At 38.8% G+C, this 27,916-nt stretch overlaps 1 protein-coding gene and 1 pseudogene across 6 annotated transcripts in view; both read left to right on the forward strand.

Moving 5' to 3' along the window:
* GRAMD1C (GRAM domain containing 1C) overlaps positions 1 to 27,916 on the forward strand; it is a 118,983-nt gene that overhangs the window by 89,104 nt on the left and 1,963 nt on the right. For 5 of the 6 annotated variants that reach the window (XM_011512930.2, NM_017577.5, XM_011512931.2 and 2 more), the window contains 7 exons: positions 13,419 to 13,537; positions 16,216 to 16,358; positions 17,137 to 17,240; positions 18,971 to 19,147; positions 20,791 to 20,848; positions 22,591 to 22,701; positions 22,945 to 23,050. In XM_011512930.2, coding sequence (XP_011511232.1) covers positions 13,419 to 13,537; positions 16,216 to 16,358; positions 17,137 to 17,240; positions 18,971 to 19,147; positions 20,791 to 20,848; positions 22,591 to 22,701; positions 22,945 to 23,050 — 818 coding nt within the window. The remainder of the gene's footprint in view (positions 1 to 13,418; positions 13,538 to 16,215; positions 16,359 to 17,136; positions 17,241 to 18,970; positions 19,148 to 20,790; positions 20,849 to 22,590; positions 22,702 to 22,944; positions 23,051 to 27,916) is intronic. The other variant, XM_005247547.3, reaches the window with a different exon arrangement.
* On the forward strand, positions 1,849 to 3,100 carry VPS26AP1 (VPS26A pseudogene 1; annotated as a pseudogene).

Here is a 27,916-nt window from a genome sequence, read left to right on the forward strand (position 1 = left end):
CAAAGAGAAAGTTATTCTATAGTCAATTTTATTTATTTATTTATTTGAGACAGAGTTGTGCACTGTCACCCAGGCTGGAGTGAAGAGGTGCGATCTCGGCTCACTGCAACATCTGCCTCCCAGGTTCAAGCGATTCTTGTGCCTCAGCCTCCTGAGTAGCTGGGATTACAGGCATGCGCCACCACGCCTGGATAATTTTTGTATTTTTTTAGTAGAGGGGTTTGCCGTGTTGGCCATGCTGGTCTCAAACTCCTGGGCTCAAGCAATCTAACCCCCTCAGCCTCCCAAAGTACTAGGATTACAAGAATGAGCCACTGCACCCAGCCGCAATTTAGTTTATAATCTAAGTATTTTATTAACCATTAGATATTATTCCTTTATTTGAAACTTTTATGTAAACATAATTTTTTTTTTTGAGACAGGGTCTCGCTCTGTCACCCAGGCTGGAGTGCTATGGTGCAATCTCGGCTCACTGCAACCTCCGCCTCCTGGGCTCAAGCGATTCTTGCACCTCAGCCTCCCGAGTAGCTGGGATTACAGGCGTGCACCACCATGCTTGGCTTTTTTTTTTTTTTTTTTTTTTTTTGGTAGAGACAGGGTCTTGCTATGTTGCTCCAGGCCAGTCTCAAACTCCTGAGCTCAGGTGATCCACCTGCCTTGGCCTCCCAAAGAGCTGGGATTATAGGCGTGAGCCACTGTGCCTGGCCTAGACATAATTATATATTCATAGATGATATCATTGTTATGAATACTAGGAACCAAAATCAATTTTGTTCTTATTATTGATGATAGAGTAGCAAAGAGATTGCAGTCAGTAGCTATTCTCCTGTGATTATATTATGAGTTTTGTAATTTAAAAAAATTATCTTTTCTGTTCTTCCAGTTTTGAAAATGTGGGATGCCTGAGATATAAATCTTCCTCTTTACTCAGTAGCTAATATTTAACTTATTATATTTTTTCGGAATCTATTTTGTATTTACTTGTTAGTCATTTCTACTTAGAGAACTTGATATTTCAGAAGAACTGGATACATTATTTCCCTGAATTTTTTGAGAGGATACCTGTTAATGTTACACTGCCATTTTTATGGCTGAAAAGACCCAGGAGGAATTAGGACGTTGTTGTATGCTGGTGATAAATGAAGTTTGCTTTTTGAAACACAACTGCATTTGTTTTCTGATATATCTGGCTTCAATATCAATGATTATATCAACTGTCTGATGTTATAAATGGCTTTGCAAAGCAAAGGCTTCCAGCTACTTCTAAACCTAAACAGTTATGAGTATGTTGCTGGCTAGACCTAGAATTAGTCAGAAGCTTTACTACAAAAGAGAATCTGATCATGACTGCAAAGCATACTGCTATCTTCTGACTTGTTACCTGGTAATCAAAGTTGTATTTCTTTCTTTCTTTTTTTGAGACAAGGTCTTGCTCTGTTGCCCAGTCTGGAGTGCAGTGGTGCAATCACACTTCACTGTAGCCTCGACCTCCTGGGCTCAAGTGATCCTCCTACCTCAGCCTCAGTTGCTGGGACCACAGGTGTGCACCACAATGCCCGGCCAATTTTAAAACATTTTTTATAGAGACAAGTGTCTCCCTATGTTGCCCAGGCTGGTCTTACACTCCTGGCCTCAAATGATCCTCCCACGTCAGCCTCCCAAAGTGCTGGGCAAGTGTGAGCTACCACACCTGGGCTGGTATTTCTTGAGATCGAGTTTCAAAGGCTCCTTTTTAAAAATATTAAGAATTTAATGATTTTTTTAAATAATCAATTATTTGTGGATTAAATCTAATTCCAGCACTCAAATGACTACCACTGGATCTAAATTTTCCAAATTAGGGGTGCTGAGCAGAAGGAGCTGGGGCTGACAGTTCTCCTGAGTGAAAAGGAGTAAAGTAGCGGGGATGTGGTGGCCGTGCTGACAATGAGTTTTCTTGAAGGCTTTTTTGGTCCAGTTTGTGAGATTGATATGTCTTTAATGATGGAGAAGCCAGGAAAATGACAGAAATGAAAACTGAAGATGGCAAAGTAGAAAAACACCATCTCTTTATAATGGAGAATCTGTTTCAGGGAAGGTAAATGTAGCCTTTAAGCAACCTGGATAGAGGCTAGAGCACCAAGGAATTAGAATTGAATTTATAGGTCAAATGGAACTTTACAATGACAAGAGTAATGCTCATGAATTTATAAACCTAATGAAAGAACTAGCCTTACCTGGAGAACTGACTCAGAGAAGAAGTTATGATTTTGAGTTTATGCAAGTTAAAAAGCCATATGCATCTGACATCGGTGCCAGTGTTCACTTGAGGTATTTTCTTAAAGTGACAATAGTGAGAAGACTGACAGATTTAGTAAAAGAATGTGATCTTATTGTTCACCAGCTTGCCACCTGTCCTGATGTTAACAACTGTATTAAGATAGAAGTGGGCATTGAAGATTGTCTACATATATAATTTGAATATAGTAAGTCAAAGTATCATTTAAAGCATGTAATTGTTGGAAAAATTTACTTCTTAGTAGTAAGAATAAAAATACAACATATGGAGTTACAACTGATCAAAAAAGAGATCACAGGAATTGGACCCAGTACCACAGCAGAAACAGAAACATCACCAAATATGAAATAATGGATGGTGCACCAGTAAAAGGTGAATCAATTCCAATGAGACTGTTTTTAGTGGGATATGACCCTACTCCAACAATCAGATGTGAACCAAAAAGTTTCAGTAAGGTACTTTTTGAATTTAGTGTTTGTTGATGAGGAAGACTGAAGGTACTTCAAACAGCAGGAGATCATTTTATGAAGAAAAGCTCCTGAAAAACTGAGGAAACAGAGAAAAAACTTTCACCAGTGATTTGAATCTCCAGAATCACAGGCATCTGCTCAACAGCCTGAAATGTGAACTGAATAGGAGACCAAAAAAAAAAAGCAACAAATTCCTGTAACCATTGAGTTAAGTTCAGCAGGTTGAAGATGGTTGCAGCTGTAGAGGGGAGAAAGAGCAAAACTCCATATATATTAGTCTTCCTTTATCTTACAGTGCTGCATTTATTTTACGGTATAATGAAATGTTCTCCATGTATATACATTTTAAAAAATGCTCTCTTTGAAACACTGGAACTTTCTTAAACTGCCTTTTTTGTTTTTACTTCACACTTTGATGATAAGCACTCAGATGTGCATCAGCATAAACATTAAAAATTTTCGGGTGAGAAAAATAAATAAAATTAGGGGGTCTTTATTTTTTATTTTTTATTTTTGAGAGGTAGTCACACTCTGGTTGCCCAGGCTGGAGTGCAATGGTGCGATCTCGGCTCACTGCAACCTCCGCCTCCTGGGTTCAAGTGATTCTCCTGCTTATTCTCCTGAGTAGCTAGGATTACAGGTGCCCGCCACCATACCCAGCTAATTTTTTTGTATTTTTAGTAGAGATGGGCTTTCACCATGTTGGCCAGGCTGGTCTTGAACACCTGACCTCAGGTGATCCACCTGCCTCGGCCTCCCAAGGTGCTGGGATTACAGCATGAGCCACCACACCTGGCCAAAATTCGGGGGTCTTTTAAATCTATATTCTTTTAAATCATTGTTTACAGTTATATGACACTACTTTTTAAATGTTTCTGATCTTTTAGTTTCAAGGGTACATGTGCAGATTTGTTATACAGGTAAATTGTGTGTCATGGGAGTTTGGTGTACAGATTAGTTCGTGACCCAGGTAATAAGCATGGTACCCAATAGGTAGTTTTCAGTCTTTACCCTCCTTCCACCCTCCACCCTCAAGTAGGCTCCAGTGTCTACTGTTCCCTTCTTTGCGGCCATGTGTACTCAATGTTTATCTCCCACTTGTAAGTGAAAACGTGGTATTTAGTTTTCTGTTCCTGCAGTAGTTCGCTCAGGATAATGGCCTCCAGCTCCATACATGTTGCTACAAAGGGCATGACCTTGTTATTTTTTATGACTGCATACTATCCCATGGTGTATATGTACCATATTTTCTTTATCCAGTCTACCATTGATGGGCATCTAGGTTGATTGCATGTCTTTACTATCGTGAATAGTGCTGTGATGAACATTCTTATGCATTGCATGTCTTTACTATTGTGAATAGTGCTGCGATGAATATACTTGTGCATGTGTCTTTATGGTAGAACAATTTATATTCCTGTGAGTAGATACCCAGTAATGGGATTCCCAGGTCAAATGGTAGTCTGTTTTAAGTTCTTTGAGAAATTGCCAAATTGCTTTCCACAATGGCTGAACTAATTTACACTCCCAGAAGCAGTGTACAAGCATTCCTTTTTCTCTGCAACCTCACTAGCATCTGTTATTTTTTGACTTTTTAATAATAGCCATTCTGTCTGGTGTGAGATAGTATCTCACTGTGGTTTGATTTGCATTTCTCTAGTGATTAGGGATGTTGAACATTTTTTCATATGCTTGCTGGCTAGATATATGTCTTCTTTTGAAAAGTGTCTGTTTATATCCCTTGCCCACTTTTTTATTGGGTTGTTTGGTTTTTTGCTTATTAATTTCTTTAAGTTCCTTATAGATTCTGGATGTTAGAGCATTTTCAGACACATAGTTTGTAAATATTTTCTCCCATTCTGTAGGTTGTCTGTTTACTCTGTTGATAGTTTCTTTTGCTGTGCAGATACTCTTTAGTTTAATTATGTCCCATTTGTCAATTTTATTGTTATTGCAGTTGCTTTTGGTGTCTTCATCATGAAATCTTTGCTAGGGCCTGTGTCCAGAATGGTATTTTCTAAATTTTCTTTCTTTTTTTTTTCTTTTTCGAGATAGGGTCTCACTGTGTCACCCAGGCTGGAGTACAGTGGCGCAAACAGCTTACTGCAGCCTCAACCTCCTGGACTCAAACAATTCTCCTGCCTCAGCCCCCCAAGTAGCTGGGACTACAGGTGCACACTACTACACCTGGCTAATTTTTATATTTTTTTGTAGAGATGAGGTTTCACCATCTTGCCCAAGCTGCTCTTGAACTCCTGAGCTCAAGCAATCTGCCTGCCTCAGCCTCCTAGAGTGCTGAGATTACAGGCGTGAACCACCACGCCCAGTCATTCCTAAATTTTCTTCAAGGGTTTTATAGTTTTAAGTTTTACATTTAAGTCTTTAATCCATCTTGAGCTGATTTTTATATATGGTGTAAGGAAGGGGGCTAGTTTCAATCTTCTGCATATGGCTAGCCAGTTATCCCAGCACCATTTATTGAATAGGGAGTCTTTTTCCCATTGCTTGTTTTTGTCAACTTTGTCGAAGACCAGATGGTTGTAGGTGTGTGGCTTTATTTCTGGGCTCTCTATTCTGTTCCATTGGTCTATGTGTCTGTTTTCATACCAGTACCATGCTGTTTTGGTTACGGTTGTCTTATAGTATAGCTTGAAATTGGGTATTGTGATGCCTCCAGCTTTGTTCTTTTTGCTTAGGATCACTTTGGCTATTGGGCTCTTTTTTGGTTCTGTATGAATTTTAGAATAGTTTTTTCCTAATTCTGTGAAGAATGTTATTGGTAGTTTGAGAGGAATAGCATTGAATCTATAAATTGCTTTGGCATTATGAACATTTTAACAATATTGATTCTTCCTATCACGAGCATGGAATGTTTTTCCATTTGTGTCATCTCTGATTTATTTGAGCAATATTTTATAATTCTTGTTGTAGAGATCTTTCACCTTCCTGGTTAACTGTATTTCTGGGTATTTTACTTTTTTTTTTCTTTTGCTATAACGAATGGGATTGTGATCTCGACTTGGCACTCAGCTTGGGTGTTGTTGGGTATAGAAATGCTATTGATTTTTGTACATTGATTTTTGTATCCTGAAATTTTGCTGAAGTTGCTTATCAGATCTAGGAGCTTTTGGGCACACTATGGGGTTTTCTAGGTATAAAAACAATATCTTCTGCAAATAGATATAGTTTGATTTCCTGTTTGGATGCCTTTTATTTCTTTCCCTTGCCTGATTGTTCTGGTTAGGACTTCCAGTACTATGTTGAATAGAAGTGGTGAGAGCGGGCATCCTTGTTTTGTTCCAGTTCTCAAGGGGAATTGTTCCAGCTTTTGCCCATTCAGTATGATGTTGGCTGTGCGGTTTGTCATAGGTGACTCTTATTATTTTGAGGTATGTTCCTTCAGTGCCTGGTTTGTTGAGGGTTTTTAACATGAACAGATGTTGAATTGTATTGAAAGCCTTTCCTGCATCTATTGAGATGATCATGTGGTTTTTGTTTTTAGTTCTGTTTATGTGATGAATCACACTTATGGATTTGCATATGTTGAACCAACCTTGCATTCCAGGGATAAAGCCTACTTTATTGTGGTGAATTAGCTTTTTGATGTGCTGCTGGATTCAGTTTGCTAGTATTTTGTTGAGGATTTTTGCATCAATACTCATCAAACATATTGGCCTAAGGTTTCCTTTTTTTGTTGTTTCTCTGCCAGGTTTTGGTATCAGAATGATGCTGAATGATGCTGGCCTCATAGAATGAGTTAGGGAGAAGTTCTTCCTCCTCAATTTTTTTGAATAGTTTCAGTAGGAGTGGTACCAACTCTTCTTTACATGTCTGGTAGAATTTGGCTGTGAATCCATCGGGTCCTGGGCTTTTTTTGATTGATAGGTTTTTAATTACTGGTTCAATTTTGGAACTCATTCTTTGTCTGTGCGGGGTTTTAATTTCTTCCTGGCTCAATCTTGGGAGGTTTTATATTTCCAGAAATTTATCCATTTCTTCTAGGTTTTCTAGTTTTTGTGCATAGAGGTGTTCATAATAGTCTCTGGGGTTTTTTTTTTTTTTTCTGTGGGGTCGGTGGTAATGTTCCTTTTGTCATTTCTGATTGTGTTTATTTGGATCTTCTCTTTTAAATTAGTCTAGCTAGTGGTCTATTAATCTTATTTATTCTTCAAAGAGCCAACTTATGATTTCATTGATCTTTTGTATGGTTTTTCACATATCAATTTCATTCTGTTTAGCTCTAATTTTGGTTATTTCTTGTCTTCTGCTAGCTTTGGGGTTGATTTGCTCTTGTTTTTCTAGTTCCTCTAGGTGTGATGTTAGATTGTTATTTCTAGATCTTTCTAACTGTTTCATGTGGGTGTTTAGCACTATAAACTTGTAACACTGCTTTAGCTGTGTCCCAGAGATTCTGGTATTTTCTGTCTTTGTTCTCATTAGTTTCAAAGGATTTCTTGAGTTCTGCCTTAATTTCATTGTTTACTCAGAAGTCATCAGGAGCAGGTTGTTTAATTTCCATGTAATTGTATGATTTTTAGTGATCTTCTTAGTATTGATTGCTATTGTTATTGCACTGTGGTCCGAGAGTGTGGTTAATATAATTTTGGGTGTTTTGCATTTGCTTAGAATTGTTTAATGGCTGATTGTGTGGTCGATTTTTAGAGTATGTGCCAGGTGCAAATGAGAAGAACGTATATTCTGCTGTTTTGGGGTGGAGAGCTCTGTAGATGTCTGTTAGGTCCATTTGGTTAAATGTCAAGTTCAGGTCACAACTATCTTTGTTAGTTTTTTGACTCAGTGATCTGTCTAATACTGTTAATGGGGTGTTGAAGTCTCCCACTGTTATTGTGTGGTTATCTGAGTCTCTTTGTAGGTCTCTAAGAACTTGTTTCATGAGCCTGGATGCTCCTGTGTTGATTGCATATATACTTGGGATAGGTAAGTCTTCATGTTGAATTGAACCCTTTACCTTTATGTAATGCCCTTATTTGTCTTTTTAAATCATTGTTGGTTTAAGGTCTGTTTTGGTTTTGTCTGAAATTAGAATAGCAATCTCTGCTTTTTTTGTTTTTCATTTGCTTGCCAGATTTTTCTCCACCCCTTTACATTGAGCCTATGGATGCCATTGCATGTGAGATGGGTCTCCTAAAGACAGCATACAGTTGTCTGGGCACGGGGGCTCACGCCTGTAATCCCAGCACTTTGGGAGGCCAAGGCAGGCAGATCACAAGGTCAGGAGATCGAGACCATCCTGGCTAACATGGTGAAAACGCATCTCTACTAAGAATACAAAAAATTAGCCGGGCATGGTGGCACTTGCCTGTAGTCTCAGCTACTCGGGAGGCTGAGACAGCAGAATTGCTTGAACCCAGGAGCTGAGATCATGCCACTGCACTCCAGCCTGGGTGACAGAGCAAGACTGTGTCTCAAAAAACAAACAAACAAACAAACAAACAAACAAAACCCAGCATACAGTTGGGTCTTATTTATCCAACTTTCCACTGCCTTTTAATTGGGGCATTAAGCCCGTTTACATTCAAGGTTAATATTGATATATGTGGATTTTATCTTGTCATTGTGTTGTTAGCTGGTTATTTTGCAGACTTGATTGTGTAGTTGCTTTATAGTGTCAATGGTCTATGTACTTAAGTGTGTTTTTGTGGTGGCTGCTAACAGTCTTTCATTTCCATGTTTAGCACCACCTTGAAGACCTCTTGGAAGGCAGGTAACGAATTCCCTTAGCATTTGCTTGTCTGAAAATGATCTCATTTCTCCTTCACTTATGAAACTTAGTTTGGCTGGATATGAAATTCTTGGTCTTAGTTTCTTTAAGAATGTTGAATATAGGCCCTCAAGCCCTCAAATATAGAGTTTCTGCTGTTAGCCTGATAGGATTCCCTTTGTAGGTGGCCTGCCCCTTCCCTCTAGCTACCTTTAATATTTTTTGTTTCACGTTGACCTTGGAGAATCTGATGACTAAGTGTCTTGGGGATGGTTGTCTTGTATGTATCTCATAGGGGTTCTCTGCATTTCCTGCATTTGAATGTTGGCCTCTCTAGTGAGGTTGGGGAAGTTTTTGTGGATGATATTTTCGAATATGTTGTCCAAGTTGCTTGTTTTCTATCCCTGTCTTTCAGGGATGCCAGTGAGGCATAGATTTGATCTATTTACATAATCCCATGTTTCTCAGAGGTTTTGTTCTTTTTTATTCTTTTTTCTTTATTTTTGTCTCAGTTAATTTGGAGAACCAGCCCTGTGAGATTCTTTTCTCAGCTTGGTCTATTCTGCTGTTAATACTTGCAATTTGTATTATGAAATTTCAGATCAGTATGATTCTTTCTTAAAATGGCCATTTTGTCTTTCAGCTCTTGTGTCATTTTTTTGTATTCCTTAGATTTCTTGGATTGGGTTTTGAGTTTCTCCTGAATTTCAATGATTTTCATTCCTATCTATATTCTGAATTCTATGTCTGTAATTTCAGCCTGGTTAAGAACCATTGCTGGGGAACTAGTATAATTGTTTGGAGGTAGGAAGACACTCCAACTTTTTGAGTTGCTAGAGTTCTTGCACTGGTTCTTTCTCATCTGTATGGACTGATGTTCCTTTTATCTCTGAAGTTGCTGTCTTTTGGATGGGGTTTTTTTGCTTTGATGCCTGTGGGGGTTTGATTGTGGAATAAGGTGGGTTCAGTTGACCATCTTCACTTCTGGAAGATTTCAGGGGGCCCAGGCTCAGCTCAGAACTCCTGGACTGTGTGCTCTAACTGTGGGGGGCTAGAGTTAGAACACATAGTTTTGTGTGTCCCCAGCTTTGTTCTCTGGCCCTTCGAGGTTAGAAATATGTTGCACTGGAGGGGTGGAGGTGTTCCTGGTCCACTGGCCACAATACTCCAATGGGGTTGCTGGCCAAAGCAATTCACTGGGGTGGTGGCAGTAGGATCTGTGCTGCTCATGAATGCCAGCAGCCAGGATGGCATGGTGGGGTGCTTGTGCACTGGCTGGGGCAGGGGCGCTGGTGGGAACCCTTTGTTTTCACAGGTGTCACCTTTGTTTTCACAGGTGTTGTATACTGGCAGAATATTTTGGTGTTATGTTTTGGGCTGTGATCTAGTAGGTAGTGTTTAAGAGTATTAGCTGGCAGATAGGCTCTTAACGCTGCAGCACAACTCATTTGTGTTTTGGCATGGTTTGTAGTAGTGTTCTGGGGTGAAAAGGGAAAGTGATGACCCCCTACCCTGGTTGGCTCTTGGGCCTTGGAGGAGCCCCCTTTGACTGGCTCTGTGCCCATGTTTCTTTTGTTGGGTGTTTTGGACCACGGGGCTCTTTTAAGCAGGTGCCATGGTTGGCAGACAGGCCATATGCTTGCCAGGTCAACCCTGCAGCAAGAATTACACTCTGCCCCTCCACTGGCTTGCAAACCTGGGCATCTCACTCTCTCAGTGATCTTAGAGGGAGGGCTTCTCCCTCCTTGGGCATCACTCAGGCCTGCACATCCTGCTCAGCTAGGAGCTGTGGGACTGGATGTGGTCACCTATTCTGCTGTCTGGGTACTTCCTAGGGGAACACGGGGTTGTGCCTGCCCACATAGTTGAGGCAGAAGTGAGACCACTGGGCTGGACACTCTAGCAGGCATGGCCTGTCTGGCTACCAGCAGCAGGGATGGGTGGGAGTCACCTACCCTGCTGTCAAGGTGTTTCCTGGGGCAACAGGAAGCTGTGGCTGCCAGCTGAGTTCAGGCAGAAGTGGGACTGTTGGGCTGAAGGCTAGCACCAAGTCTTGTCTGGCAAGGTGGAGTGAAGCAATCTTACTGCTCCCAGGCAGGACCGTGACCGCTATTGGGGATATGGTACTGGTGTCATTCCGTTCCAGGGTCCAAGGCTTATAGAGGTCCCCATGGACTTGAGAGTTGTCGCCGCAGAAACTCTGGGTGTCTCTCTGCCTCAGTTTAGAAGTGTGGGGGTAGGGCCAGGGGAACCAGGGAATTCTCCCATTACTAGTCTTACACAGGTGCCTGTGTACAATCCTCCAGGGAGCTCTCACTCACTCATCCTTTCCCATATTGAGGAGCTTTTCCTGGCTCTGTGCTGATCCCAGAGGGGCCGCTGCCCAGCTTTGCTCCTCTCTGCCCTCTGTGTCCCCTTGCTGCCTGGATGGATTCTGACATGGTTTCTTAGATGATCAGCTAGTAGGGTCAGTGTTCATCAACCCTGTTGTTTCCTGTTTGTGAGAGCGGCACACACGAGCAGCTTCTAATTCACCATCTTGACCCACCCAACCCCCGACACTACCTTTAATTAAAGCTCAGTTTTAAGTCTTTTTACCCAACTCTTACATTTAAAAATATGTAAAGCTTCAGAAAAATTGCATGAATAGTATGATAACATCCATATGCCACTTGCCTAGATTCATCAATTTTTAAATTATGGCAAAATGTACATAAGATAAAATTTACCATTTAACCATTTTTAAGTGGACAGTTCAGTGGCATTAAGTACATTCACGTTATTGTACAACCACTGCCACCATCCATCTTCAGAACTTTTTAATCTTTCCAAACTGAAATGCTATACCTGTTGAATGGTAACGCTCCATTTCTTCCATTGTTGATGATCACCATTCTATTTTCTGTCTATGTGAATTTGACTACTCAAGGTGCCTTGCATAAGTGGAATAATACAATGTTTGTCCTTCTGTGACAGATTTAATACACTTAGCATAATGCCTTCCAGGTTCATCCTCGTTGGGGCATGTATCAGAATGTATTCCTTTTTTAAAGCTGAATAATATTCCATTGCATGTATATACCACATTTTGTTTATCCGTTCATCCATTAATGACATCTGGGTTGTTTACACATGTTAGCTACTGTAAATAATGCCACCACGAACATTGACATACAACTGTCTGTTCAGGTCCCTGCTTCCAGTTCTTTTGGGTATATGCCTAGGAATGGAATTGCTGCATCATATAGTAATTCAATCTTTACTTTTTTGAAGAGTGGCTACTATTTTCCATACTGGCTGTATCATTTTACATTTCCACAAGCAATGTACAAAGTTTCCAATTTATCCACATCCTTGCCAACACTGATTATTATTTATAATAGCTATCCTAATGGGCACGAACGTTCACCAATTTTAAAACTTTATTACATCAAAGGATTTTTAAAATTCTGCAGTTCCTGCCTTTTATATATCAAAATGGTTCATATGTCCTTTTGCGTACTAGCCATTTTTCCTACAATTCATTCCAGGTTTTTTTTACATTATGATAAGCTTTACTTAGGTATTGGAGGATTGACTGTTTCAAGATGATGTTAATTAGGTGATGCTCTGGTAAGCAATACTCAGTAGACCTTATTGGTAACATTGCTGAAACTACAAGGGTAACATTCATGGGAAGACAAATAGTTTTCATTTATCCTTGTTGATAGTTGCTTCATTGAGTAGTGTGCAGTTTTAAGAGCAGAATTAAATTACATCTTTAAATTTTGTTTCTGATTAACAACAGACTGGTTGTATCATTTTCCTGAAACAGGCTGACATATGACCAAAGTAATCTTCTGAAAAGTAATTTAGAATTAGTTGTATATCTTCTTTTATATATACCTAAATAAATCATTTTACAGAAAATCCTGGATGATAGACTCTATGATTTGTGATTTTGCCTTTTTAATTTAGTTATAAGACTTTGCCAGATACTCAGAAGGCAATTTCAGGATCCCTCATTAAATCCTCAGATCTAGCAATATAAAAGAAGTTGAGTAAAATTGGCTGTATTCTAAAGCCTCACTTCCTTCCTTTGATGATGAGTATAATGGGGTTAGATAAAGGCTCCTATGCTTTAGGATATTGGTGAATAGCAGTCAAACATACTAGTACTTGCCTAAGTCGATTTGTGCTGGGGCATTAGGTGATACAATCATGTCTTTGAATAGAGTTTTTAATGCTTTTATTTATACTTTTTAAGTTTTTGGCTTCATGAAATGACCTTCACTGTGTTCTAGAACTATATTTCTGTTCAAGTGGGTATTTAATCACTATATTGTCCCTAAGCAAATAAAAGAGAATTTTTACCAGGATCTTGCTATAAACATAGAGATATGATCTTATAGTCTTCTTAAGACAGATTATATAATCATTTATGTTCCATTGCCTTACTGTGACTAAAGATTTTAGCAGACAAGCCACTGACATTACATGATTTCTCATAACATTGACATAATTTCTATGTAAGTTGATATCAAGGTCATATGGTTTCTTAATGACAAAAATATTTTAAAGTTTTGTCCTCAGTGATGGGAATGTTAAAGTGTTGTTCCGTCTCTGATAAACCTGGCATCATTACTTCTCTTCATAGGTACTGAGGACTTTAAAAGGAAGCTTACAGATGAAACAACTTTTAATTTTATCTTCTAATAAAAGGAAAAAGGATATTAATAAACAATTTAGAAATAAATGGATCAGAGATGGGGAATATGCCACATTTAAGGAGAGTGCTTAACATTTAATCTCTCTTTTCTTTAATGTTAAACTTATAATACCCAGTTATAAGGAAGTTAGCACTAGTCAAAAATAGAAATTTTAATAATTCAGAAGCTCCTTTGATTTCATTTAATGTCATACTGTTTAAGTTTCTAGAACTAACTCATTTTGTGTTTGTTGTTGTTAGATGTAGTATCTACCCCTTGGACTGCAGAACTTGGAGGTGATCAGCTGAGAACGATGACCTACACTATAGTCCTTAATAGTCCACTTACTGGAAAATGCACTGCTGCCACTGAAAAGCAGGTACGTCTGCTTTGTCAGTGTCCAGAAGAGTCATGTGTGGGGGAAGAGAGAAGATGCCTATTATAGTTCACCAATTTACAAGACAGTTTCAATAAACAAGTGGCAAGAAAAAAGGGAGGAGAAACTGTTACAGGTTAAAAGAGACTTAAAAGGCATATGAATCGTATCAACCCACTCCTAATTCAAACAAACCACTTGTTAAAAGGTATTTATGAGATTTCAGGAATTGTTTATTTTTTATGTATAGTAATGGTATTACAGCTGTGTATTAAAGAAAATAATATTTATTTTAAAAGAGATATATGGAAGAATCTATAAAGAGATATAGTGAAGTATTATGGATGACATTATATTGATGTCTAGGATTTCCTTTAGAAGTCATCTAGCTGGGCAGAGGATGGTGATAGAGGCAGGTAATATGGGACAGAGGACAAAGGAAGCAAGACTGGGGAGGAGTTAGTGTTGCTGAAGCTAGTTGATGAGCTCCTGAGGGTCATTATACTTCATTTCTTCTCTTTCATATATTCAAATTTTTTTTTTTTTTTTGAGACGGAGTCTCACTGTTGCCCAGGCTGGAGTGCAGTGGCATAACCTTGGCTCACTGCAAGCTCTGCCTCCCAGGTTCAAGCGATTCTCCTGTCTCAGCCTCCTGAGTAGGTGGGATTACAGGCGCACGCCACCATGCCTGGCTAATTTTTGTATTTTTAGTAGAGACGGGGTTTCAGCATGTTGGTTGGGCTGGTCTCGAACTCCTGAACTCATGATCCGCCTGCCTCAACCTCCCAAAGAAAATATTTTTTTAAAAAGAATACCAGGCCAGTTATGGTGGCTCATCCCTGGAATATTAGCACTTTGAGAGGCCCAGGTGGGAGGATCACTTGAGACCACGAGTTTGAGATCAGACTGCGCAACACAGTGACACTTTGTCTTTACCAAAAATAAAATTAACCAGGCATGATGGTGTGTGCCTGTGGTCTCACCTACTCAGGAGGCTGAGGCAGGAGGATCGCTTGAGCCCAGGAGTTTGAGATTACAGCGAGCTATGATCTAGCCACTGCACTCTAGCCTGGGCAACAGAGCTAGACTCTGTCTCAAAAATAAAAAATAAAAACAAAAGAAGACATAAAAAGGAACACTACTCAAATCTGGTTTACAGAATTGTTTCAAGAGTTAGGGGCCAAATAACTAGATGGCTGCTTTGACACATGGGAAGAGAATGAGTTTTTGAAATTAAATACTGTATGAGCTATTTAATGCTCTTTATCTGTGACCAGAGTGGCAGTGTCTTACAGTGGAATGTGTGTTTAGCCAATTTGTGCTGAGTATCTGATTTGCAAATAGTCTGAAAACATCTCTTAACATCTGAACTAGTTGTGCTTATAAGAGCAAACAAATGGACAAAACAATAGTTTTGTTCATTATCATTAAAAAGAACGTATTTCCATACCTTTAAACAATTCTTAAAAGATTATCAAACGTAAGAAAAGTCTGGTATTTTGGTATTGGAGGGTCTTTGAAAACTTTGGAAGCCCCCCCAACCCCCTTACAGGATAGGTAGAAAAGGTATGGTTAAAATGAGAAAGGTTTGGCCAATGACCATTTAAAATCCTGTTTAGGAAAAGCAGTGTTTTGTTTGGTTACTACCCTTCTTGACTTTTTTGGTGAAGGGTGGTTTCGTTGAACTTTGATTAATTTTGAGGTGGGATCCTTACTTCATTCAATTGATTTTTGAATTGTTCACCTAACAGGAACACTTAAAACTCTATAAACTTATAATACACATAAGAGATTATGTGGTTTGTCCTCATGCCTAAAGGAAAAAATAATTTGCCAGTGAAATAAATGACACAGGGGCAGCAAATGTAATTTCTGTAAGTCCCTTTCTCTCTTTAAGAGACAGTTTCAGTCTGTCACTCAGGCTGGAGTGTAGTGGTGCAGTCATAGTTCACTGCAACCTCAAACTCCTGGGCTCAAATGATCTTCCCACCTCATTCTCCCAAGTAGCTGGGACTACAGGCGTGTGCCACCAACCCCAACTAATATTTTCTTCTTTCTTTTTTTTTTTTTTGAGACAGAGTCTTGCTGTGTCTCCCAGGCTGGAGCGCAGTGAGGCGATCTTGCTCACTGCAACCTCTGCCTCCTGGGTTCAAGTGATTCTCCTGCCTCAGCCTCCCACCGAGTAGCTGGGATTACAGGCATGTGCCGCCACTCCTGGCTAATTTTTGTATTTTTAAGAGAGACGAAGTTTTGCCATGTTGGCCAGGCTGGTCTTGAACTCCTGGCCACAAATGATCCACCCACATCAGCTTCCCAAAGTGTTAGGATTACAGGCGTGAGCCACTGCGTCTGGCCTAATTTTTTATTAAAAAAAATTTTTTTTGTAGAGGCTGGGTGTTTTTATATTGGCCAGGCTGGTCCCGAATTCCTGACCTTAAGCAATTCTCCCACCTTGGCCACCCTAAGCGCTGGGATTACAGGCATAAGCCGCCATACCCGGCCCTCTTTTTCTCAATTTATGGACAACAGAGTCAGCATGTAGGCTCTTTTAGCTTTGTATATAGGTTTCTCATGTTTTTTGTAATTTTTGAGAAGGAATACTAATATACATGTTCTAAATTGGCAAGAAGATTCATATATTAAGCATATACATACAAACATTTTTTATCTTACTTTGGCAGACACTGTATAAAGAAAGTCGGGAAGCACGATTTTATTTGGTAGATTCAGAAGTACTGACACATGATGTCCCCTACCATGATTACTTCTATACCGTGAACAGATACTGTATCATCCGATCTTCAAAACAGAAATGCAGGCTAAGGTGAGCTGCTGTACATGAATGTGTTAGGATAGGCTAGATTATGTCCTGGTAATTTATTCATCCTGAATTCTTAGTAGTAGCTTTACACAACAGTTTTATTTCTTGCTTAAATTACATTTCCAACAGGGGTGAGCAGAGGAGTGGGGCTTCTCACCTAAGGCCCCCGCTTGATGAAGGCTTTGACACCCGGAGCTACGTGATCCAGAATATGTGTTGTTTCAGTTGCCACAGGAAGAGAAAGCTGTAGAATTGTGTTCACAATCCATTGACCAGAACCAGTCATGTGACCTTGTTTAATGGCAAAGGGGCTGGGAGTTTTGGGGGAGTGCTCAGTGAGCGGTAATTGGCTCTGCTGCAGTGGGAAATGAGAAATGTTGGTGCATTACAGAGAGAGATGGGCCATCATGTACTTGGCCTACTCTGGTTAATGTAGTTACTTTCACCTAGTGTATGACCACTAGAGATTTTTTATACAAGGAATTTAGAAAATTTAGTATTTATTTTGAGCCTTCATTGCTATTTAGATAAATAAAATTTAGGGCTAGAGAAAGGAAATAAGTAAAATGGCAAGTACTTAGAAGGAAAATTTGATGAAATTATTAGCAGCACACATTAATTTTTTAAATAAAAGTTATCAATGAACACATTTTCTTTTATGATATTAATGACTTTGAATCTTTTTGACTTTCCACTGAATACAATCTTACATTTAACTGTAACATGAATATAACTAAAGTCTGCTCTTTAAATAAATATTCTTTCCTTCTTATTCTACTAGAGTTTCCACAGATTTGAAATACAGAAAACAGCCATGGGGCCTTGTCAAATCTTTAATTGAAAAGAATTCCTGGAGTTCTTTGGAGGACTATTTCAAACAGCTTGGTTTGTAAATTTTTTTATTTATCTATTTTTGTAAAGATGGGATTTATTAACAAAATGGATTGATTCTTCATTTAGATTTGTAACAGAAAACTGGTCAATGATGTTGGAAAGACTCCCATGAAAGTGGTTCCCACTGTCCCACTTTTTCTGCCACTTAGGGAATTTCAAAACTTTTAATTTTCATTGGTCAAACAAACACTTATTTTTTTTATTTTTTATTTTTTTTGAGATGGAGTCTTGCTTTGTTGCCTAGGCTGGAGTGCAGTGGTGCGATCTTGGCTCACTGCAACCTCCGCCTCGTGAGTTCAAGCAATTTTCCTGCCTCAGCTTCCCGAGTAGCTGGGACTACAGGCGTGTGCCACCACACCCGGCTAATTTTTGTATTATTAGTAGAGACGAGGTTTCACCATCTTGGTCAGGCTGGTCTCGAACTCCTGAGCTCATGATCCACCCGCCCAGCCTCCCAAAATGCTGGGATTACAGGTGTGAGGCACCACCGTGCCTGGCCGAACAAACACTTACATAATGCTTATTATATCCCAGACATACATAATAAAGTTCTATGTGCTTTACAGATATTAACTCATTTCATACTCAGAACAAGTTAAAATTATTATTTTTCATTTTATTAAAAGAGAAAATTGAAACACAGAGAGGTTAAGTGACTTTTATCAAGATCACACAGTTAAGAGCTCTCATACCCCTTTGCCTCTGTAAGGAGCCAAGGAGACTGCATAAACTGATCATAGATATACACCTGTGCTGTCTAAGCTCTGGGGAGTCCTCGGGGCTACCTTCCTTGTCAGATGCAGCTTTCCTGGGCTTATGCAGCCCACTTGGCAATGGTAGTATGTACATGTATGGATTTGGTTGGAGGTGGGTACTAGAGACTGACTGGGGAAAACGATACGGTGGTTCTCTTTGGATATTTCTTAACATATACATGCGAGAAATATATATATATATACACACACACACACACATATATGCATGTATATATACGTGTGTGTATATATATATACACATATATATACACAAGCATAATTTAAGTTTAGTTGAAGAAAAGCTGGTGGTCAGTCAACTCAAGGTAATTTAAGGCTTATCATCTAGTTTGCTGATAATTTTTCTTGCCTTTCTTCCTTGTCTATTTCATTATTGAATTCTTCATCAGGAGCAGAGAAAAATGAAACTCAAAAAAAATTAGTTTGGCCACTGAATAAGTTTCTAATAAAAATTCTGGCAGAGGAAAAGTTTGAAACAAATGACAAAAATGAGGTTTATAGGTTGTTTACAGATTTTCTTTGTGAGTGCTTCCTTTCTTGTAAACCTTTGTTGAAAATTAGAACTAGTATATGCTACTCCTTCCTGTAAGGTTGAGAAGTACCATAATCTGTCTTTGAAATCTTTCTAATGATCCAATGTAAGTGGGTAGCCTGTTGTTTCCATAACTGAAATTATTACATTAATATGTATTAATAACATAGCACATGGCAAATTTGCTCTGATGAGCCCATCATTTATTAATACACATTCTTCCTGGAATAATGAAACCTCATTATGGGGTCACTGTACTCTCTAAAGCTTTTCATTAAGTGTAAAATTTGAATCTAGGTCATAAGAACCTAAGGAATTTGTTAAAGAAAATTATCAAAAATAACCACCAAAACCCATTGTATCTTATAGTTGAGGAGCTTTCCTCACTATATAAAGATTGTTTTTTTTTTTCTTAGAATCAGATTTGTTAATTGAAGAATCTGTATTAAATCAGGCCATTGAAGACCCTGGAAAACTTACTGGCCTACGAAGGAGAAGGCGAACCTTCAACCGAACAGCAGAAACAGTTCCTAAACTTTCCTCTCAGCATTCCTCTGGAGATGTGGGCTTAGGTGCCAAAGGGGATATTACAGGTAGTTGTCACCTGGTAAACAGAGATGAAAGATTTTTACTTTAGTTATATGAAGCAGAATGTGCCTCTTGTTTGTAAGAATATGTCAGGAGGTCTCCTTTTCTTCCCTCCTTTTTGGATAATGTTTATCAAACTCTGATTTCCTTTAAGATAACTAATATATAAGTATAAAGGAGCAGTTGCAAAATGGCAAGCATATAACCAATATATTTTATTTGGCCCATGTGTCATTTTAAGAATTGGACATTAAACTTTTTTTAAAATTTTATTTATTTTTTCTAGATAGGGTCTCGTTCTGTTGCCCATGCTGTAAGTGGCACAATCATGGCTCAGTGTAACCTCGGGCTCCTGGGCTCAAGTGAGCCTCCTGCCTCAGCCTCCTGAGTAGCTGAGATTACAGGTGTGCACCACCACACCTGGCTAAAATTGGACCTTTTTATATAAAAACTCAGATCTGACAGTCCAGCACTGAAATCCCTTCATGGCAGCAGTTTGTTGGAGCATAGTAGTAGCTGCCCTGTTAGACTGAGTGCGCCCCAGCTTGCCACAGCCCCCATCACAATCACCACCCTGCCAACTTCTGAACCACTTTGCTTATTTATTTGCTGCCTAGCATTTATAGAAATTCAATTTCTACGTTTGAGTGTACTGCTCTCTTAATCCTTATATACTGTCAGGGCCAGCCCAGCAAAATTGCAAAGATAACATTTGACTTTTATTATCTTCATTCTCAATTTTGAACACATCTTACTTTTAATAACTGTTATTCCCTTCCTCTCAGAGGTATAAAACTGTCATAACTTCTCATCCTCTTACATTATCAGATCTTCCTTTGAGGCTTGTAGCTTAGTGTTGACTATGTTTATCCACTATTTAAGATTAATGGTTCTTTAATTTTGGAATTTAAAAGTTTGGGTAACAATGAATAGGTGATAATGTTTTGTTTTGTTTTGTTTTTTAACTAGGGAAGCATTTTATGTAAGCCCAGTTCAAATATTATTTGGAGAGATATTTGCTTATTGATTATTAGCTACTTAGCTATCAAGCATGTTGTATTGAATTGCTTGTTTAATTTTAGAGTAAAGTAATTTGCAATATAGGCCAAATTTTAAGGAGTGCTGAAAGTTTTCTCTTTGTAGATTTGTTTCATATTACTCAGGATGTCAGAAATAAAAAAAGGGGTGCAGGGAATTTACCCTAAATCACTTTGTCTTTACAAATAATTTTTAAAAGTTCTTTTTCAGTTCTTTTCAAATGAGTATTAAATTTCTGTCAGTTGAGGGCTGGGTGCGGTGGCTCACGCCTGTAATCCCAGCACTTTGAAAGGCCAAGGCGGGTGGATCACCTGAGGTCAGGAGTTCGAGACCAGCCTGACCAACATGGAGAAATCCCATCTCTACTAAAAATACAAAAATTAGCTGGGCATGGTGGCGCATGCCTGTAATCCCAGCTTCTCAGGAGGCTGAGGCAGGAAAATTGCTTGAACCTGGGAGGCAGAGGTTGCGGTGAGCTGAGATCGTGCCATTGCACTCCAGCCTGGGCAACAAGAGCGAAACTCCTTCTCAAAAAAAAAAAAAAAAAAAATTTGGATCAGTTGTAATCACAATTCTCATTCTAATGCAGCCTTTTTCTTGTGATCTACAGGAAAGAAAAAGGAAATGGAAAACTATAACGTCACTCTTATTGTGGTAATGAGTATTTTGTAAGTATTTGTTGTGAATGCTTATTTTGCTTGTTTCAGCATTTATCTTTAACTAGTTTCCAAAAGAATTTGAATGTATTTGTATATTATTGTGTAGAAATTGCCACTATTTGACTATTGCCGGCCTACAAAAATAGCAATTTTATAGGTTTCAGATTTTTAGCTTTATATATGATTTTCAGAAGAATTGTTAAATTTGAGGAAATACAAAGTACTCATTCAACAGATGTTTTTATTTTTTAGCTAATCTGATTAATTTCTATCATCATAGGTTTTTATGGGAAGTTCCATAAATTTAAAGGGAATATTTATATATACATGCTGGGGAAGTGCCAATAATACTATTTTACTCTATTTGATTGGACAAATGGTTCTTACGTAACTCTGCTGTGCCTAAGAATCACTTGGGGTGCTTGCTAAAATGCAGATTTCTTGACCCCTGTCTCAGAGATTGATTCAGTAATTCTTGAGTAGGCATCAGGAATCAGTATTTTTAAACATACACCCCAGGTTATTCTGATGCAAGTGATATGAGCATTACATGGTGAAAAATACTGGGACAATGTCTGAATCCCAGGGTATTCTATAGGAATCCACTCAGCCAGTCATATTTAGAACACTAATATCTATATGCCTCTATATGAATCTTGAGGCACTATGTTAGATTTAATTGAATTGGTTCTGACTTAGTGATATATTGAAGGTGATAATTTTTGGATTGGAGCTTCAATATTAGCTTTTTTTTGTCTAATTATAGATTTCAGAACATAGAAGATGTTTGTTGTTCCTTTGGGCTTTATGGAAGATTTTTATGTTCTGCTTAAATCAGTTTTCTACGACAGTTCTGAATAGCAAATATTATCAGTGTTCTTTTGCATTACTTTACAGAAAATGTTTACTCAAAAGTTGGAATATTAATCTGTATACCATTTCAATGCCATAATAACTTCAAAGATTGGATTTTCTTGCTACTATCTTAAGTTTTTAAAAATAAATCTTCTTGATGGGTAAAAGTGAATAAGGGCAAGTTAATATTTTAATAGAAAAAGTAGACAGATATGATGCCACCTGTATATTTGCATATATATATATATGGTATGTAACCATTCACTTGAAAGGCTGCTGTGAAAACCAATACATTAAGTTCATTTAGCATGTAACATTTTATATATGACACCATTAATGTATATTTGGGACTTGATACTTCCTTTGTGCAAGATGAACTAGAATAATTTTTGCTGAATGGTAATTTTTTTTTTTTTCTGACTTCCACTGGGAGTAAGAGGTACATCATGCTCTACCTGAGATCAGCTACATATTGATCTTCATTTCCTTTTCTGAAAGGCAGCATTATGAGCGTATAATTGCCTAAGCCAAAGGCACCCAAAAATAGATCCTAAAAGCTTATCTGGTAGATTTCAAAGCTGGTGGTCTCACATCAACACTGACTAGTATTCCTAGCAGAGGGGAGAGATGTCACAGATACCCCAAACCTGTGAGTTCGGATTATTCAAGGACTTGTATTGTCACTCTAATTACCTTCCATCTTTTCCTCAACCTCCACTTAATACTTACAAGTAATTATTTCATATAATAAAATAGGGATAATTGATTTAAATAATAACAACAATGAAAAACAGTGTAGACAATACACATTTTTGAAGCTTTTGCATGTATATTCTGCATTAGCAATGCTTTAGGTCTGGAAAAGTGTGGATTAACATATAATTTGCTCTGCCTAGTGTGTTGTTATTAGTTTTGTTGAATGTGACACTGTTTCTGAAGCTGTCAAAGATAGAACATGCTGCTCAGTCCTTTTACCGTCTCCGCCTCCAAGAAGAGAAATCTTTAAAGTAAGTCTTTTTCCCCCTGACCTGTATTCACCATATTATTTCAGTAATTCTTCAGTTGCAGAAAACTTAATTTCAGTTTCAGAGACTGTGGTCTGCTAACTATCCTGTAGCCATAAACAGCCTGTTTTTGTTTGTTTAATTTTGTGTTTTGTTTGCAAATTTATGGGGCTCTGATGATTTCTGGAAATGAAAAAAAGATCAGAAGCTATTCTCCAGATTTTGAAGATGGCATTTTTCTTTCAGTTTAGCCTCTGATATGGTGTCAAGAGCAGAAACTATTCAGAAGAATAAAGATCAGGCCCATCGTTTAAAGGGAGTGCTCCGAGACTCCATAGTGATGCTTGAACAGGTAGGCAACTCGATACATCACAGTACTTAGTATCTTTGTCCCAGTATGAATTAGTTGCTCTTCTGTGTATGAGAGAATATTTACCCTACTATCGTTTGAAAAAATCCCCCTGCTAGAGCCAACTACCCCTGCCAGTCTCTAGTATGCAAGGGTATTACATTTATTATGTAGTCACTTTTGTTTATTTATTTATTTACAAAATGGGAGTATACAATATACACTGTTGTATATCTTTTTTCAATTAGTAATATATTCTGAAGATGTTTCCATATCAGTGTGTATACATCTACTTCATTTTTATTGATCTTTCTAAATAAAATTCGATGCATAATATTAAGCTCTTTTTACAGGAATGGTAGCTATTACATACACTGTCCATTATTTTACTTTTATCTATTAACCATATATCTTGGAGATACTTCCATCTCAGTATATAAAGCAAACCCCCTTAACAGCTGCATAAGATTCAACTGTATAAATGTACCATAATTATCTTACTAGTATTTTTACCACTATTGCCAATTATCTTTACAGACATTTAATATTTGCAGACATTTAATCCCCTAATTTTCTGTTTATAAATCTCTCAGAATCTTTATTCACGTAGGTACTCCATTGATGAGGTCTTCTGATGGCTCCAGTCAGGTCCAGTGGCCCTCTATGCCGGGTGCACAGCTATCATTCTGGGGTTCCTATTGTCTGTGTGTGTCTTCTGTTTCCTATATCCTGTGTTTTCCTTTCTTAGTTTACTTCCTCCTTTTAATGGAGCACATCCAACAGTAGCTTCCTGAGAAGAGAATTTGGAGGTAAATATTTTAAGAGTTCACCTAACTGAAAATTTTTCATTCTACTTTTTCTCTTGCTTATAAATGGTTTGATGAGAACTTTGAAGGCATTGCTCCATTATCTTTTGGTTCCAGTATTGCTATTGAGAATTCTGAGGCTATTATCACTCTTGATTCTTTAATCTGGAAACTCATGCCTATAATTCTGGAATTTTTCTTGAGTCATATAGTTGATTATTTCCTTCCCTCATTTTCTCTCTCCTGACCTTCTACAACTCCTGTTATTCAGATGTCAGCCTTCTGTTGGATGGGTTATGTAATATTCTTACCTTTTCTTTCCATCTCTTAGTCTTTTTGGTCTGTTTCTGGGATATTTTATCAATTTTATCTTCAAATTCTTCCATTGAGTTTTTCAGTTTTCGCTAACAAATTTTCAGTTTCAAAGAGCTATCATTTTTCTGAATGATTTCTTTTCTTTGTGGTGTTGCAATTTTTTTTTTTTTTTTGAGATGGAATCTCACTCTGTCACCCAGTCTGGAGTGCAGTGGCACAATCTCAGCTCACCACAACCTCTGCCTCCCAGGTTCAAGTGATTCTCCTGCCTCAGCCTCCTGAGTAGCTGGGATTACAGGCGCGTGCCACCATGCCTGGTTAATTTTTGTATTTTTAGTAGAGACAGGGTTTCGCCATGTTGGCCAGGCTGGTCTTGAGCTCTCGACCTCAGGTGATCCTCTCACCTCGGCCTCCCAAAGTGTTGGGATTAAAGGCATGAGCCACCGTGCCCGGCCATCTTTTTTTTTTTTGAGACAAGAGTCTTACTCTGTCACCCAACTGGAGTGCAGTGGCATGAACACGGCTCACTGCAGCCTTGACCTCCTGGGCTCAAGCAAACCTCCCACCTCACCCTCCCGTAGCTGGAACTTCAGGTGTGAGCCACCATGCCCAGCTAATTTTTGCAGTTTTTGTAGAGACAAGGTTTTGCCATGTTGCCCAGGCTGGTCTCAAACTCCTGGGCTCAGCAGATCTACCTGCCTTGGCCTCCCAAAGTGTTGGGATTGCAGGCATGAGCCACTGCTCCCAGCTGCAATTTTTTTTTTTTTTTTAATGGCTACCATATCTTTATCTCTCTGAAGATATTACTGATAGTTAACATTTTTTAAATCTTCTTCTGGCATACTCATTTTGCATCAAGATCTTCACCCTCGTTTTAATTTCTATCTTTAAGGTTAGAGAATTTCTTTAGTGTTTGGTAGCCCTTGCTTATCTTCTTGTGTGGATCTGAAGCTCTTTACATATGGATTGGGCTGGTGTACCCCAAACTTCTCTGTAGATCTGGCTGGGCTCTTGGCTGAGAAATCCTGGTTATCAGCACCTTTGGGTCAGTGTCCACAGAGAAGACTCCTCCAGTCTCCAACCTGGTGGATTTAGGGCTGGCTGCAGCGTTTTAGGAGCTGAGCGGAAGAGGGATAGGGGAAGGAAAGGCAGAAAGGATGGTCCCAGGATTCAGTACATACATTTTCCTGTATTACCCTTGTTTCTGGTATGTACTGCTATCCTTAACAATGCCTTGGTGTCCCTCAAGCCAGGCAGCCAGAGACCCTCTGTTTTATCCTGCACGGAAAATAAAATTCCAGACTTCTGCCTAGGTAGTAGGAAAGGTCAGATGCCGAAAGTTTCATGCAATCCTTCCTTTGGCTCTTCCTCTTTATTCTCACTTCCAGAGCTTCCTGGTCATTAACACCTGAGCCTTTTGAGGATTCTTTAGGGTTAATTTTGTTGGTTCTCAGCATTACTTTTACTTTAGAATTCAGCTTTTCCAGGCCTGCTGAGTCATCCATCTGCTTTCCAGTTTCCAAAGTTGCATTACTGTTGTCTCCTTTTCCATTTTCCTTGCCCTTATAGCTTTATGCCTTCTAAAAAATCTCTTTATTAGTAGAGTTTGAGGGAGCAAAGTTGGATGTGTGTATTTATTCCACTCATTCACTCTTCAGCTCACTCCTGCCTGATGTTCTTCCCGCATGGTTTCCCCAACTAATATTGCTTGAGCCAAGGTCCCCAGTGACATCTGGCTTGTAAAAAGAATGTACCTTTTTTCAGTCTTCATCCTACAGTGTCAGCATTTGACAGAGCTAAACACTTCTTTCTTGAAATGTATCTAATGTATCTAATCTTGCTTTCTTTAAAACCATAAAAAAATCTTTTTGTGATGTAATTTACATACAATAAAAGTTTTTATTCACAAGGTTGTGCAACCATCATCACTATCTAATTCCAGAGCATTTTCATAACCCCACAAGAAAATCTGTACACATTAGTAGTTAATTCCCATCCCTCACTCCCCCTGACCCCTGGCACCCACTAATCTAATTTCCATTACTATGGGTGTGCCTATTCTGGACATGTTATATACATGGAATAATACAATACGTGGTCTTTTGAGATTGGCTTCTTTCACTTAGAAAAATGTAAAACTAATTTTTGCTAGTTAAAAACATCTCCTTGGCTGGGCACAGTGGCTCACACCTGTAATCCTAGCACTTTGGGAGGCCAAGGCAGGCAGATTGCCTGAGCTCAGAAGTTTGAGACCAGCCTGGGCAACTTGGCGAAACCCCGTCTCTACTAAAATACAAAAAATTAGCCAGGGGTGGTAGCAGGCGCCTGTAGTCCCAGCTACTCGGGAGGCTGAGGCAGGAGAATTGTTTGAACCCAGGAGGCGGAGGTTGCAGTGAGCTGAGATCATGCTACTGCACTCCAGCCTGGGTGAAAGAGCGAGACTCCGTCTCCAAAAAATAAAAATAAATAAAAAATAAAAATATCTCCTCTGCCTGACTTCCTCCTGGCCCAAATGCTCCAGGGCTCTGTGTTAGATTCTCTTTCCTTCTCTATTACTCTCCCTTTAGGTGATCTTATTCACACCCCTAACTTTAAATAACCACACGTTCCAATGACTCCTGTCTTAGTCCATTTGTGCTACTATAACAAAATCCTGGAGACTGGGTAATTTATAAAGAACAGAAATTTATTGCTCACAGTTCTGAGGCTGAGGAGTCCAAGATTAAGGTTCTGGCATGTTTGGTGTCCACCTGGCAGAAGGGACTGAAGGACAAAAAAGGGGACTATTTAGTTCCCTGAAGCTCTTTTATAAGAGCACTAATCCATTCATAGGAGCCGTCATGACCTAATCACCTCCCAGAGGCCACGTCTCTTCATGCTGTTGCATTGGGGATTCAGTTTGAACGTGAATTTTGAAGGGGACACAAATGTTCAGATAGCAGCAACTCCCAAGTCCGTATCTCTCACCTCGACCTGAGCTCTAGACTCATACAGTCACTTGCCTACTTGGCATCTTCACCTGGATGACTAACAGGATTCCCAAACTGATTATGTCCAAAACAGAAGTCAATTTTCCTCTAATCCAAAACCTAATTCTCTAGTGGGTCTCATTTCAGAAAATGATGCTACCATCCACCAGCTGCTCAAGTCAAAAACTTAATAAAATATCTAAGTATATATTTATGTATGTGATTATTTGTTTTATTAATAGTTCTGGATCCCTGACTAGTCTGTAAGCTCCATGAAGGACAGGACAGTGCCTATTTGGTTCTCCATTGTATATCCAGTGCTTAGAACACTGCCCAACATGTGATAGGCAAGCAACAAATATTTGTTGAATGAATACAAAAAAAGAGTAAGACATAATTCCTGCTCTTGAGTTGCACACAATTTTCTTAGAGAAATGAGATGTCCAGGTGTATTGTTAATGACAAAGATTACAAAATTCAGTGTCAAAGTGTTAAGTAGTAAGGATAATGCTTTGGGAGTTTATAGGCAGAATGACTGGGGAAAACTACATGAAGAGTGTGAATATGAGTAAGTTTTAGGTGAAGAACATGAGGATGAGAGCATGCAAAGGCACTGAAGCAAACTTGAGTTGTTTAGGGGATAGTGAGGAGACCACTGCAACTTCAGAAATCTTTTAGGAAAACGAGTCTGTCACTACGCTTAATTTGATTAATGGACCTATTGGGAGGTAGACTATGTAGCAGTAGGAAGAAGTACAATACTCCAGCAAATGGGAAGA

Source organism: Homo sapiens, chromosome 3 (genome assembly GCF_000001405.40).
Source record: "Homo sapiens chromosome 3, GRCh38.p14 Primary Assembly".
Taxonomy (NCBI): Eukaryota; Metazoa; Chordata; class Mammalia; order Primates; family Hominidae; genus Homo; species Homo sapiens.